This window comes from Homo sapiens, chromosome 8 (genome assembly GCF_000001405.40).
Source record: "Homo sapiens chromosome 8, GRCh38.p14 Primary Assembly".
NCBI lineage: Eukaryota > Metazoa > Chordata > Mammalia > Primates > Hominidae > Homo > Homo sapiens.
This window is the reverse complement of record NC_000008.11, coordinates 70,802,923-70,818,546: the sequence shown is the minus strand read 5'-3', so window position 1 is coordinate 70,818,546 and position 15,624 is coordinate 70,802,923. Positions and strand designations below refer to the sequence as shown.

The 15,624-nt window shown below is 40.3% G+C and overlaps 1 protein-coding gene across 1 annotated transcript in view, besides 1 other annotated feature; it reads right to left on the bottom strand.

Annotated features, from left to right (window-relative positions):
- Positions 1-15,624, bottom strand: part of XKR9 (XK related 9) — a 396,467-nt gene that overhangs the window by 247,259 nt on the left and 133,584 nt on the right. The gene's annotated exons all lie outside the window — the stretch shown is intronic.
- Positions 12,965-13,822: an enhancer, noted in NCBI's record as "OCT4-NANOG-H3K27ac-H3K4me1 hESC enhancer chr8:71716960-71717817 (GRCh37/hg19 assembly coordinates)". NCBI's record gives its function as "activates a minimal SCP1, AML or CMV promoter by ChIP-STARR-seq in naive H9 embryonic stem cells {active_cell/tissue: H9 hESC(naive)}" and the evidence as "EXISTENCE:reporter gene assay evidence [ECO:0000049][PMID:30033119]".

Genomic DNA, 15,624 nt, shown 5'->3' with positions numbered 1-15,624 from the left:
TTAACAAATAATGTCAGGCACTAGTTATTTGGTGGTAAACAGTCATAGTTTAAGTGTTAGTTATATTATAATAAATAAAAGTCGTAATATCTACAATCATGAAGTTTAGAATCTAAGCAAAAGATAGTCCATAAACAGGTAAATAAGTAAACATAAAATGTAATTATAAGCTAAGATAAGTGCTGCAGGAGATAAATAAAAAAATAAAGCACTATAATGGGAAACAAGAATGCCTGGGTGGTGAATCATAATTAGATGAGATGACCAGGGAAGAACTTTATAAGAATTTAACCTGAAACTTGAAGAACGATAAAAGAGATAATCATGTGGAAACTCACCAAAAAAAAAAATAAATAAACAAAAAAACAACAACAACAAAAAACACTCTCTTGATAGTTTCCTTTGCTGTGCAGAAGCCCTTCAGTTTAACTATGTACCATTGTCAAATTTGTTCTTGCTGCAGTTGCTTTTAAGGACTGTCATAAATCCTTAGTCAAGGCTGATATCCAGAATGGTATTTCATAGGTTTTCTTCTAGAATGTTTAGAGTTTGAGGTTTTACATCTAAACCTTTAACCCATCTTGAGTTAATTTTTGTATATGGTGAAAGATAGAGATCCAGTGTCATTCTTCTGCATATGGCTAGCCAGTTATCACAGCACCGTTTATTGAATATGGAGTGTTTTCCCTATTGCTTATTTTTGTCAACTTTGTCAAAGATCAGGTGGTTGTAGGTGTACAGCTTTATTTCTGGGTTCTCTTTTCTGTTATATTGGTCTATATACCTGTTTTTTAACCAGTAGCATACTGTAACCTTGTAGTATCGTTTGAAATCTGGTAATGTGATACCTCCAGCTTTGTTCTTTTTGCTTAGGATTGTTTTGGCTACTGGGGCTTTTTGGGGGCCCATATGAATTTTAGAATTTTTTTTCTAATTATGTGAAAAATGACATTGGTAGTTTGATAGGAACAGTGTTGAATCTATAGATTGCTTTGGGTAGCAGGGTCATTTCAATGATATTGATTCTTCTGATCCACGAGCATGAAATGGTTTTCCATTTGTTTGTATTATCTGTGATTTCTTTCAGCAGTGTTTTGTAGTTCTCCTTGTAGAGATCTTTGAACTTCCTGGTTAGATGTATTCCTAGGTATTTTATTTCTTTGTGTGACTATTATAAATAGAATTACATTCTTGATTTGGCTCTCAACTTGAACATTATTGGTGCACAGAAATGTTACTAATTTTTATGCACTGATTTTGCATCTTGGAACTTTACTGAAGTCATTTATCAGTTCTAGGAGGCTTTTGGTGTAATCTTTATGTTTTCTACATATAGAATCACACTGTCAGCAAAGAGATAATTTGACTTCTTTTCCTATGTGTATGCCTTTTATTTCTTTTGCTTGCCTGGTTGTTCTGGCTAGAACTTCCAGTACGATGTTATCAAATTCATTTATCAAAGATAAGACTTTTTGTGGAGTCTTTAGGGTTTTCTAGATATAAAATCATATCATTCTGTTTTCTCTTTCTCTTGATGTTGGCTGTGGGTTGTCATAGATGCTTCTTGTTATTGTGAGATATGTTCCTTCAATGCCCAGTTGGTTGAGGGTTTTTATCATTAAAGAATGTGGATTTTATTAAAAGCTTTTTCTGCATGTATTGAGATGATCATATGGTTGTTGTTTTTAATTCTGTTTATGTGGTGAATCACAATTATTGATTTGCACATGTTGAACCAACCTTGCATCCCAGGAATGAAGCCTATTCAATCATGGTGAACTAACTTTTTGATGTGCTGCCGGGTTTGGTTGATGAGAATCTTTGCATCTAGCCCAATCTCTTCGGGCTTGCAAGGATTCTGTTGAGAAGTCCACTGTTAGCCTAATAGGGTTCACTTTGTATATGATTTGACCTTTTTCTCTAGCTGCTTTTAAGATTTTTTCTTTAGCATTGACTTTTGGTTGTCTGGTGACTACATGCCTTGGTGATGTTTGTTTTATATAGTATCTCACAGTAATACCACATTTTCTTTAGTCAATCTTGCATTGATGAACACTTAGGTTGATTCTGTATCTTTGTTATTGAGAATAGTGCTGCTATAAACATACAGAACCAGATATATTTTTCATATAATAATTTCATTTCCTTTGGGCAGATAGTCATGGGATTGCTGGATCAAATGATATTTCAATTTTTAGCTCCTTCAGAAATCTCCATACTGTTTTCCATAAAGGTTATACTAATTTAACTTCCCAGCTACTGTCCAGTTTTCCCAGCACCATTTATTGAAAAGGTTGTCCTTTCAATCGTGTATGTGCTTGCTGATTTCGTCAAAGATTAGTTGGGTGCAAATATGTGGCTTTATTTCTGCGTTCTCTATTCTTCTCCATTTATCTGTGTGTCTGTTTTATTTTTGCTTGTTTTTTTAGATACAGTTTTGCTCTTGTCGCCCAGGCTGGAGTGCAATGGCACAAGCTCGGCTCATTGCAACCTCTGCCTCCCGGGTAGAATAACATTCTACCCAGCAATCCCATTACTGGATATATACCCAAAGAAATATAAATTGTTCTATTATAAAGACACATGCATGTGTATGGACACTGCAGCACTATTCATAATGGCAAAGACACGGAATCAACTTAAATGCCCATCAATGATAGACTGGATAAAGAAAATGTGGTGCGCATATACCACAGAATAAAAAGCCATAAAAAAGAATGAGGGCCGGGTGCAGTAGCTCACGACTGTAATCCCAGCACTGTGGGAGGCTGAGGTGGGTGGATCACAAGGTCAGGAGATCGAGACCATCCTGGCTAACACGGTGAAATCCCGTCTCTACTAAAAATGCAAAAAGTTAGCTGGGCATGGTGGCGGGCGCCTGTAGTCCCAGCTACTCGGGAGGCTGAGGCAGGAGAATGGCATGAACCCGGGAGGCGGAGCTTGCAGTGAACAGAGATTGTGCCACTGCACTCCAGCCTGGGTGACAGAGTGAGACTCCATCTCAATAAATAAATAAATAAATAAATAAATAAATAAAATAAAGGAATGAGATCGTGTAATTTGTAGGGACCATGGATGGAGGCCATTATCCTTAGCAAACTAATGCAGGAACAGAAAAACCAAATACCACATGTTCTCACTTGTAAGTGGGAGCTAAATGATTAGAACACATGGACACGTAGAGGGGAATAACACACACAGAGGCCTATTGGAGGGTAGAGTGTGGGAGCAGGGAGAGGATCAGGAAAAACAACTAATAAGTACTAGGCTTAATACGTTGGTGGTGATGAAATAATCTGTACAACAAACCCCCATGACACAAGTTTACCTATATAACAAACCTGCACATGTATCCTGAACTTAAAAGTTAAAAAAATTAAAAATAAATGAATAAAATACAATGTAAAAAAATTCTTCTGATCCATAAGTATGGAATGTTTTTCCATTTGTTTGTGTCATCTACAATTTCGTTCATCAGTGCTTTACACTTGTCCTTATAGAGATCTTTTATCTACACAAATAAACTATTAGGCATTTTATCTTTTGTAGCTATTGTAAATAGTATGGCCTTCTTGATTTGATTCTCTACTGGATTGTTATTGATGTATGGAAATGCTACTGACTTTGGAACACTGCTTTTATATACAGAAACTTTACTGAATTCATTTATCAAAGTTAATGTTTTTGTGGACTCTCTAGGGTTTTCTAGACATAAGATTGTACCATCAGTGAAGAGGAATAATTTTACTTATTCTTTCCCACTTTGGATACCACTTATTTCTTTCTTTTGCCAGATTGCTCTGGCCAGGACTTCCAGTACTAGCAATGTTGAACAACAGTGGTGAAAATAGGCATCCTTCTCTTGTCCAGTTCTTAGAGGAAACTTTTCCACATTTGTTTCTTCAGTATGATATTGGCAATGGTTTTGTCATATATGGCCTTTATTATTTTTAGATATGTTCTTTCTAGTTTGTTGAGGGTTTTTATCAGAAAGAGACTGTAATTTGTCAAATGTTTCTTCGACGTCTATTGAGATGATGTAGTTTTTTTTTTCTGTCCTGCTTCTCAGGTATAATTTATTTTTATTTTTTTATTTTAATATTATTATACTTTTAAGTTTTAGGGTACATGTGCACAATGTGCAGGTTTGTTACATATGTATACATGTGCAATGTTGGTGTGCTGCACCCACTAACTCATCATTTAGCATTAGGTATATCTCCTAATGCTATCCCTCCCCCTTTCCCCCACCCCACAACAGTCACCAGAGTGTGATGTTCCCCTTCCTGTGTCCACGTGTTCTCATTGTTCAATTCCACCTATGAGTGACAACATGCGGTGTTTGGTTTTTTGTCCTTGCGATAGTTTGCTGAGAATGATGGTTTCCAGTTTCATCCATGTCCCTGCAAAGGACATGAACTCTTCATTTTTTATGGCTGCATAGTATTCCATGGTGTATATGTGCCACATTTTCTTAATCCAGACTATTGTTGTTGGACATTTGGGTTGGTTCCAAGTCTTTGCTATTGTGAATAATGCCGCAATAAACATACGTATGCATGTGTCTTTATAGCAGCATGATTTATAATCCTTTGGGTATATACTCAGTAATGGGATTGCTGCGTCAAATGGTATTTCTAGTTCTAGATCCCTGAGGAATCGCCACACTGACTTCCACAATGGTTGAACTAGTTTACAAACCCACCAACAGTGTAAAAGTATTCCTATTTCTCCACATCCTCTCCAGCACCTGTTGTTTCCTGACTTTTTAATGATTGCCATTCTAACTGGTGTGAGATGGTATCTCATTGCGGTTTTGATTTGCATTTCTCTGACGGCCAGTGATGAAGAGAATTTTTTCATGTGTTTTTTGGGTGCATAAATATCTTCTTTTGAAGAAGTGTCTGTTCATATCCTTTGCCCACTTGTTGATGGGGTTGTTTGTTTTTTTCTTGTAAATTTGTTTGAGTTCATTGTAGATTCTGGATATTAGCCCTTTGTCAGATGAGTAGGTTGCAAAAATTTTCTCCCATTTTGTAGGTTGCCTGTTCACTCTGATGGTAGTTTCTTTTGCTGTGCAGAAGCTCTTTAGTTTAATTGCATCATGTTTGTCAATTTTGGTTTTTGTTGCCATTGCTTTTGGTGTTTTATTCATGAAGACCTTGCGCATGCCTATGTCCTGAATGGTAATACCTAGGTTTTCTTCTAGGGTTTATGGTTTTAGGTCTAACATGTAAGTCTTTAATCCATCTTGAATTAATTTTTGTATAAGGTGTTAAGAAGGGATCCAGTTTCAGCTTTCTACATATGGCTAGCCAGTTTTCCCAGCACCATTTATTAAATAGGGAATCCTTTCCCCATTGCTTGTTTTTGTCAAGTTGGTCAAAGATCAGATGGTTGTAGATATGCGGCATTATTTCTGAGGGCTCTGTTCTGTTCCATTGATCTATATCTCTGTTTTGGTACCAGTACCATGCTGTTTTGGTTACTGTAGCCTTGTAGTATAGTTTGAAGTCAGGTAGTGTGATGCCTCCAGCTTTGTTCTTTTGGCTTAGGATTGACTTGGCAATGCAGGCTCTTTTTTGGTTCCATATGAAATTTAAAGTAGTTTTTTCCAATTCTGTGAAGAAAGCCATTGGTATCTTGATGGGGATGACATTGAATCTATAAATTACCTTGGGCAGTATGGCCATTTTCACGATATTGATTCTCCCTATCCATGAGCATGGAATGTTCTTCCATTTGTTTGTATCCTCTTTTATTTCACTGAGCAGTGGTTTGTAGTTCTCCTTGAAGAGGTCCTTCATATCCCTTGTGAGTTGGATTCCTAGGTATTTTATTCTCTTTGAAGCAATTGTGAATGGGAGTTCACTCATGATTTGGCTCTCTGTTTGTCTGTTATTGGTGTATAAGAATGCTTGTAATTTTTGTACATTGATTTTGTATCCTGAGACTTTGCCAAAGTTGCTTATCAGCTTAAGGAGATTTTGGGCTGAGACGATGGGGTTTTCTAGATATACAATCATGTCATCTGCAAACAGGGACAATTTGACTTCCTCTTTTCCTCATTGAATATCCTTTATTTCCTTCTCCTGCCTAATTGCCCTGGCCAGAACTTCCAACACTACGTTGAATAGGAGTGGTGAGAGAGGGCATCCCTGTCTTGTGCCAGTTTTCAAAGAGAAAGCTTCCAGTTTTTGCCCATTCAGTCTGATATTGGCTGTGGGTTTGTCGTACATAGCTCTTATTATTTTGAGATACGTCCCATCAATACCTAATTTAATCAGAGTTTGTACCATGAAGGGTTGTTGAATTTTGTCAAAGGCCTTTTCTGCATCTATTGAGATAATCATGTGGTTTTTGTCTTTGGTTCTGTTTATATGCTGGATTACATTTCTTGATTTGCGTATGTTGAACTAGCCTTGCATCCCAGGGATGGAGCCCACTTGATCATGGTGGATAAGCTTTTTGATGTGCTGCTGGATTCGGTTTGCCAGTATTTTATTGAGGATTTTTGCATCAATGTTCATCAAGGATATTGGTCTAAAATTCTCTTTTTTGGTTGTGTCTCTGCCAGGCTTTGGTATCCGGATGATGCTGGCCTCATAAAATGAGTTAGGGAGGATTCCCTCTTTTTCTATTGATTGGAATAGTTTCAGAAGGAATGGTACCAGTTCCTCCTTGTACCTCTGGTAGAATTCGGCTGTGAATCCATCTGGTCCTGGACTCTTTTTGGTTGGTAAGCTATTGATTATTGCCACAATTTCAGATCCTGTTATTGGTCTATTCTGAGATTCAACTTCTTCCTGGTTTAGTCTTGGGAGTGTGTATGTGTTGAGGAATTTATCCATTTCTTCTAGATTTTCTAGTTTATTTGTGTAGAGGTGTTTGTAGTATTCTCTGATGGTAGTTTGTATTTCTGTGGGATCGGTGGTAATATCCCCTTTATCATTTTTTATTGTGTCTATTTGATTCTTCCCTCTTTTCTTCTTTATTAGTCTTGCTACCAGTCTATCAATTTTGTTGATCTTTTCAAAAAACCAGCTCCTGGATTCATTAATTTTTTGAATGGTTTTTTGTGTCTCTATTTCCTTCAGTTCTGCTCTGATTTTAGTGATTTCTTGCCTTCTGCTAGCTTTTGAATGTGTTTGCTCTTGCTTCTCTAGTTCTTTTAATTGTGATGTTAGGGTGTCAATTGTAGATCTTTCCTGCTTTCTCTTGTGGGCATTTAGTGCTATAAATTTCCCTCTACACACTGCTTTGAATGTGTCCCAGAGATTCTGGTATGTTGTGTCTTTGTTCTCATTGGTTTCAAAGAACATCTTTACGTCTGCCTTCATTTCGTTATGTACCCAGTAGTCATTCAGGAGCAGGTTGTTCAGTTTCCATGTAGTTGAGCGGTTTTGAGTGAGTTTCTTAATCCTGAGTTCTAGTTTGATTGCACTATGGTCTGTGAGACAGTTTGTTATAATTTCTGTTCTTTTACATTTGGTGAGGAGTGCTTTACTTCCAAGTATGTGGTCAATTTTGGAATAGGTGTGGTGTGGTGCTGAAAAGAATGTACATTCTGTTGATTTGGGGTGGAGGCTTCTGTAGATGTCTCTTAGGTCCACTTGGTGCAGAGCTGAGTTCAATTCCTGGATATCCTTGTTAACTTTCTGTCTCGTTGATCTGTCTAATGTTGACAGTGGGGTGTTAAAGTCTCCCATTATTATTGTGTGGAAGTCTAAGTCTCTTTGTAGGTCTCTAAGGACTTGCTTTATGAATCTGGGTGCTCCTGTATTGTGTGCACATATATTTAGGATAGTGAGCTCTTCTTGTTGAATTGATCCCTTTACCATTATGTAATGGCCTTCTTTGTCTCTTTTGATCTTTGTGGGTTTAAATTCTGTTTTATCAGAGACTAGGATTACAACCCCTGCCTTTTTTTGTTTTCCATTTGCTTTGTAGATCTTCCTCCATCCCTTTATTTTGAGTCTATGTGTGTCTCTGCATGTGAGATGGGTTTCTGAATACAGCACACTGATGGGTCTTGACTCTTTATCCAATTTGCCAGTCTGTGTCTTTTAATTGGAGCATTTCGCCCATTTACATTTAAAGTTAATGTTGTTATGTGTGTATTTGGTACTGTCATTATGATGTTAGCTGGTTATTTTGCTAGTTAGTTGATGCAGTTTCTTCCTAGCCTCGATGGTCTTTACATTTTGGCATGTTTTTGCAGTGGCTGTTACCGGTTGTTCCTTTCCATGTTTAGTGCTTCCTTCAGGAGCTCTTTTAGGGCAGGCCTGGTGGTGACAAAATCTCTCAGCATTTGCTTGTCTGTAAAGTATTTTATTTCTCCTTCACTTATGAAGCTTAGTTTGGCTGGATATGAAATGCAGGGTTGAAAATTATTTTCTTTAACAATGTTGAAGATTGGCCCCCACTCTCTTCTGGCTTGTAGAGTTTCTGCCGAGAGATCAGCTGTTAGTCTGATGGGCTTCCCTTTGTGGGTAACCCCACCTTTCTCTCTGGCTGCCCTTAACATTTTTTCCTTCATTTCAACTTTGGTGAATTTGACAATTATGTGTCTTGGAGTTGCTCTTCTCGAGGAGTATCTTTGTGGTGTTCTCTGTATTTCCTGAATCTGAATGTTGGCCTGCCTTGCTAGATTGGGGAAGTTCTCCTGGATAATATCCTGCAGAGTGTTTTCCAACTTGGTTCCATTCTCCCTGTCACTTTAAGATACACCAATCAGACATGGATTTCATCTTTTCACATAGTCCCATATTTCTTGGAGGCTTTGTTTCTTTTTATTCTTTTTTCTCTAAATTTCTCTTCTCACTTCATTTCATTCATTTGATCTTCCATCACTGATACCCTTTCTTCCAGTTGATCGAATCAGCTACTGAGGCTTGTGCATTCATCATGTAGTTCTCATGCCGTGGTTTTCAGCTCCATCAGGTCCTTTAAGGACTTCTCTGCATTGGTTATTCTAGTTAGCCATTTGTCTAATCTTTTTTCAAGGTTTTTAACTTCTTCGCCATGGGCTCGAACTTCCTCCTTTACCTCAGAGTAGTATGATCATCTGAAGCATTCTTCTCTCAACTCATCAAAGTCATTCTCCGTCCAGCTTTGAGCTTTGCTGGTGAGGAGCTGCGTTCCTTTGGAGGAGGAGAGGCATTCTGATTTTTAGAATTTTCAGTTTTTCTTCTCTGTTTTTTTCCCATGTTTGTGGTTTTATCTACCTTTGGTCTTTGATGATGGTGACGTACGGATGAGGTTTTGGTGTGGATGTCCTTTCTGTTTGTTAGTTTTCCTTCTAACAGTCAGGACCCTCAGCTGCAGGTCTGTTGGAGTTTGCTGGAGGTCCACTCCAGATCCTGTTTGCCTGGGTATCAGCAGCAGTGGCTGCAGAACAGCGGATATTGGTGAACAGCAAATGTTGCTGCCTGATCGTTCCCCTGGAAGTTTTGTCTCAGAGGAGTACCCAGCCATGTGAGGTGTCAGTCTGCCCCTACTGGGGGGTGCCTACCAGTTAGGCTACTCGAGGGTCAGGGACCCACTTGAGGAGGCAGTCTGTGCGTTCTCAGATCCCAAGCTGCATGCTGGGAGAACCACTACTCTCTTCAAAGCTGTCAGACAGGGACATTTAAGTCTGCAGAGGTTTCTGCTGCCTTTTGTTTGGCTATGCCCTGCCCCCAGTGGTGGAGTCTACAGAGGCAGGCAGGCCTCCGTGAGCTGCAGTGGGCTCCACCCAGTTCAAGCTTCCTGGCCTCTTTGTTTACCTACTCAAGCTTCAGCAATGGCTGGCGCCCCTCCCCAGCCTCGCTGCCACCTTGCAGTTTTATCTCAGACTGCTGTGCTAGCAATGAGCAAGGCTCCGTGGGTGTAGGACCCTCCAAGTCATGCACAGGATACAATTTCCTGGTGTGCCATTTGCTAAGACTGTTGGAAAAGCACAGTATTAGGGTGGAAGTGACCTGATTTTCCAGGTGCTGTCTGTCACCCCTTTCCTTGGCTAGGAAAGGGAATTCCCTGACCCCTTGTGCTTCCTGGGTGAGGCAATGCCTCACCCTGCTTCAGCTCATGCTCGTTGCACTGCACCCACTGTCCTGCACCCACTGTCCAACAATCCCCAGTGAGATGAACCCAGTACCTCAGTTGGAAATGCAGAAATCATACATCTTCTGCATCGCTCATGCTGGGAGCTGTAGACTGGAGCTGTTCCTATTCGGCCATCTTCCTTTTTTAGCTTTCTGATGTGGGCATCTAGTGCTATAACTGTTCCTCTTACCAGTGCTTTAGCTGTGTCCCAGAGATTCTGGTACATTGTCCCTTTCTTCTCATTGGTTTCAAAAAACTTCTTGATTGTTGCCTTAATTTCATTATTTACCCAGGAGTCATTCAGGAGCAGGTTGTTCAATTTCCCTATAATTGTGTGGTTTTGAGTGAGTTTTTTAATGCTGAGTTCTAATTTGATTGCGCTGTGGTTTAAGAGACTGTTGCTTATGATTTTAGAGGTTTTTTTTGCATTTCCTAAGGAGTGGTTTACTTCCAATTATGAGGTTGATTTTAGAATAAGTGCCATGTAGCACTGAGAAGAATATATAGTCTGTTGAAATGTGGTGGAGAGTTCTGTAGATGTCTATTAGATCCACTTGATCCAGAGCTGAGTTCAAGTCCTGAATATCCTTGTTAATTTTCTGTCTTGTTGATCTGTCTAATATTGACAGTGGGGTGTTAAATTCTCCCACTATTATTGTGTGGGAGTCTAGGTCTCCTTGTAGGTTTCTAAGAACTTGTTTTATGAATCTGGATGTTCCTGTATTTGGTGCATATATATTTAGAATAGTTAGCTCTTCTTGTTGAATTGTTCCCTTTACCATTATGTAATGCTGTTTTTTGTCTTTTTTTATCTTTGTTGGTTGAAAGTCTGTTTTGTCAGAGACTAGGATTGCAAGCCCTGCCTTTTTTGCTTTCCATTTGCTTGGTAAATATTCCTCCATCCCTTTATTCTGAGCCCCTGTGTGTCTTTGCATGTGAGATGGGCCTCCTGGATTCAGCACACCAATGGGCCTTGACTCTTTATCCAATTTGCCACTCTGTGTCTTTTAATTGGGCCGTTTAGCCCATTTACATTTAATGTTAGTATTGTTATGAGTGAATTTGATCCCATCATCATGATGCTGGCTGCTTATTTTGCACACTTGTTGGTGCAGTTTCTTCATATTGTCTTGGCCTTTATATTTTGGTGTGTTTTTGCAGTGGCTGGTACTGGTTTTTCTTTTCCATATTTAGCACTTTTTTCAGGAGCTCTTGCAAGGCAGGCCTGGTAGTAATGAAATCTCTCAGCATTTGCTTGTCTGAAAAGGATTTTATTTCTCCATTGCTTATGAAGCTTACTGGCTGGATATGAAATTCTGGGTTGAAAATTCTTTTCTTTAAGAATGTTGAGTATTGGCCCCCAATCTCTTCTGCCTTGTACGGTTTCTGCTGGGAGGTCTGCTATTAGTCTGATGGGCTTCCCTTTGTAGATGACCTGACCTTTCTCTCTGGCTGCCCTTAACATTTTTTCCTTCATTTCAACATTGAGAATCTGAAGATTATGTCTCTGGGGGTTGATCTGCTTGTGGATTATTTTAGTGGTGTTCTCTGTATTTCCTAAATTTCCATGTTGGCCTGTCTTGCTAGGTTGGGGAAATTCTCCTGGATAATACCCTGAAGTGTGTTTTCCAGCTTGTCTCCATTCTCCTCCTCTCCTTCAGGTACTCTAGTGAATAGTAGGTTTTGTCTTTTTATGAAGTCCCTCATTTCTTGGAGTCTTTTTTCATTCCTCTTCATTTTTTTTCTCTAGTCTTGTCTGCATGCCTTATTTCAGCAAGGTGGTCTTCAAACTCTGATATCCTTTCTTCTGCTCAGTCAATTCAGCTATTGATACTTGTGTATCCTTCATGAAGTTTTCATGCTGTGTTTTCCAGCTCCATGAGGTCATTTATGTTCCTCTCTAAACTGGATATTCTAGTTAGCAGCTCCTTTAATCTTTATCAAGGTTCTTAGCTCCTTTGCATTGGGTTAGAACTTGATCTTTTAGCTCAGCGTAGTTTTTTATCAACTGTCTTTTCAGGCCTACTTCTGTCTATTTGTCCATCTCATTATCCGTCCAGTTCTGCACTTTTGCTGGAGAAATGTTGCAATCATTTGGAGAAGAAGAGACACTCTGGCCTTTTGGGTTTTCAACATCTTTTCATTGATTCCTTCTCAACTTTGTGAGTTTGTGTAGTTTCGATTTGAGGCTGCTGACCTTTGGAATGGGTTTCTGTGGGGACTTCTTTGTTGTTGTCGATGCTATTGTTGTTACTTTTTGTTTGTTTTTCTTTCAATGGTCAGGTCCCTCTTCTGTAGGGCTGCTGCAGTTTGCTGGGGGTTCACTTCAGGCCCCATTCATCTGGTTCACTCCCGCACCTGGAGATGTCACTCAAGGAGGCTGAGAACAGCAAAGATGGGTGCCTGCTCTTTTTTCTGGGATCTCTGACCTCAGGGGGCATCAACCTGATGCCAGTAGGATTGCTCCTGTATAGGGTGTCTGACAGACAACTCCTGTTGGAAGGTCTCACTCAGTTTGGTGGCACGGGGAACAGGACCCATTTAATGAATCACTTTCACTGCCCCTTGGTGGAGGGGGTGTGCTTCACTAGGGGGAAGCACATTCATCTGGGCTGTCTATACTCCTCAGAACTACCAGGAGGAAAGGCTAAATCTGCTGTTCTGCAAAGACTGCAGGTACTCCTTCCCCTAGGGGCTCAGGCCCAGGGAGATCCAGGTTCTGTCCGGGAGCCTCTGGCTGGAGTTATTGGAGTTCCTGCAGGGAAGCCTCACCCAGTAAGGATGAGTCAGGGTCACGCCTGAAGAGGCACTCTGGCCAGTCTGCCACAGCCAGTGTGTTGGGCTGTGGGGGAACATGTCTTGGGACCAAGTTGTCCAGTCTCCCTGGCTTCAGCAGGGTAAAAGCACAGCCTGGAGCTATAGAGATGAATGCCGCCCTTCCCCCACCCAGGGAGCTTAGCGTGTTAGGCAGTTGTGAGTCCCGGTGCTGGCTTCTGCCCTTCCCCCAAGGAGCTCAAATGGCTTAGACAGCAGGCAGCCACAGCTGTGGTGCTGGTCACCCCTCCCCCCGGGAGCTCGGTAGGCTAAGCAGATTCCAGCTGCTAGACTGTTGAGAATATGCGCAGCTCTGGGGTGAGACACTAGGCGCCAGTGGCGTGGGTACACGAGTGTGATCTTTCGATTCATGGGTTGCACAGTTCCATGGAAAAAGCACGGTTTACCTGGCCAGGTAGCACACTCACTCACCACCTCCCTTGGCTGGGGGGTGGAGATTCCCCTGCCCTGTGTGGCTCTTAGGTGGGCCGCTGTGCTGCACTGCCCTTCCTTCCTCTCCACAGATCATGCCAGCCTCCTAGTCAGTTCTGATAAGACAATCTGGATACCTTGGTTGCCAGTGAAGGATTTACATGCTTATTATGGTTCTTTTTGATGGAAGCCTCTGATCACCACTGTTTCTAGTCTGCGATCTTGGCCTCACCCATTGGCCAGTATCTTAAACATTTGTGTAGAAGGTGAAGCAATTATGAATCAGGGACCCCAGGGTCACCACAGCTTTCAAGGAATGTGTAATGCTCTTTTTCTTTTATATAAACTAGAATTGATTTTACCAATCCAAAAGTCTGTGAAATATGCAAAATAAAATGAGTCCATGAAGTAAAGACAAAAATGATAACAAAAAATTTATATTCATTCATATTATTTGACTACCCATTATATTTAGCTTCAATACCAGCAAAATTTGCTATCCAATTAAACATATTAGATTTAAAACTACACAAAAACTCAGTATAAAACCATTTTTTAGAGACAACAGTATGTTTCATAATTTTTTCGCCCTGTGTTATCCATGAAAAGCACACTTACCACCTGCCTTTAATGTATCCTATTTTCCAACCTGTTTCCCAGTTTTTATCTAATAACAGTGATGTAACAGTATATGCTAAAAGCTTTACATGTACTATGTTATTATTTAATTTAGTGATCATCCCACTTTGCACATAAAATAATTGAGGCATAGAAAGTTAATATAGAAAAAAAGAATTTGAATCTATAAGTTGTACTGTATATAAAAGTTAACTCCAAATAGACCATAGATATAAATGTAAAACTTAAAACTATAAAATTGCCTGACCCAGCAGTCTTACTTCTCTGTGAACTCAGTGGAAGGGCGTAGCCTCCTGTTATCCCAGGAAATACCCAAACAGCAGGGCAGGTGACCCCGCCTACCCCCACCACTTGCAGCCAGACAGATGACAACTGCTAGAGCATCTGAACCAGCAGTTCTGCTTCTGTGTGAACTTAGCCAGAGGGCTCAGCCTCCTAATGTCCCAGGATATACCTGCATGGCAGGGAGGGCAACCCCACCCACACTCACCACTGGTAGCCAGGCAGGCAATGCTTGCTAGAGCTTGTAGCCCATAGAGCAGACCTGCTTCTATGGCAACTCAAAGAGTGCAGCCTCCTGTTGTCCTGGGAGACACCCAGAAGGTGGGAATCACCCCACCTATCCCTGCCACTGGTTGCCAGGAGGGCAACACCTTTTAGAGCTTCTGGCCCAGCAGTCCCACTTCTGCCTGAATTCTGCAGTCAGGCACAACCCCATGTTCTACCAGGAAGCACTTGGTCACCAGATTAGGGCTGACCTGGCAAGGATATAGCCTGTCCACAAAATGCAGTCCCTGCCTGAGGGAGCAGAACTTCCAGAACACCCAACAAAAGAAACATGGGTACAAAAACAGCTATCAAAGGATGCTCCTCCAAGACCCAGAAGCAGGCTAAAATAGAAGCCAGTTGACTGAGGCCACTTTATACCACAATCAAACCTCTAAAGGAATCAAAAAAGATAAAAGCAAAAAAACTCATCCAAAGGACAGCAACTTCAAAAATCATCAGCCCACACGGATGAGAAATAACCAGTGCAAAAACTCTGGCAACTCAAAAACTCAGTGTCTTCTTACCTCCAAATGATTGCACTAGTTCCCCAGCAATAATTCTTAACCAGGCTGAAATGGCTGAAATGTCAGAAGTAGAATTTAGAATATGAATAGGAATGAAGGTCATCAACACTTAGGAGAAAGTTGAAACCCAATCCAAGGAATCTAAGAAATACAATAAAATGATACAGGAGATAAAAAATTAAATGGCCATTTCAAGAAAGAGCCAACCTGAACTGAGCTAAAAAAATTCTCTTCATGAATTTCATAATACAATCACAAATATTAACAGCAGAAATGACCAAATTGAGGAAAGAATGTCCAAGTTTGAAGACCAATTCTCTGAAATAACAGTCACAATAATTTAAAAAATAAAGGAAAATGAAAAAACCTCTGAGAAATATGAGATTACATAAAGAGACCAAATCTATGTCATACTGTCAACCCTAAAAGAGAGGGAGAGAAAGCAAGCAACTTGAAAAACATATTTGAGGATATCATTGATGAAAATTTCCCCAACTTCGCTAGGGAAGCCAACATTCAAATCCAAGAAATGCAGAGAACTCCTATGAGATACTATACAAGAGACCACCCCCAAGCCACA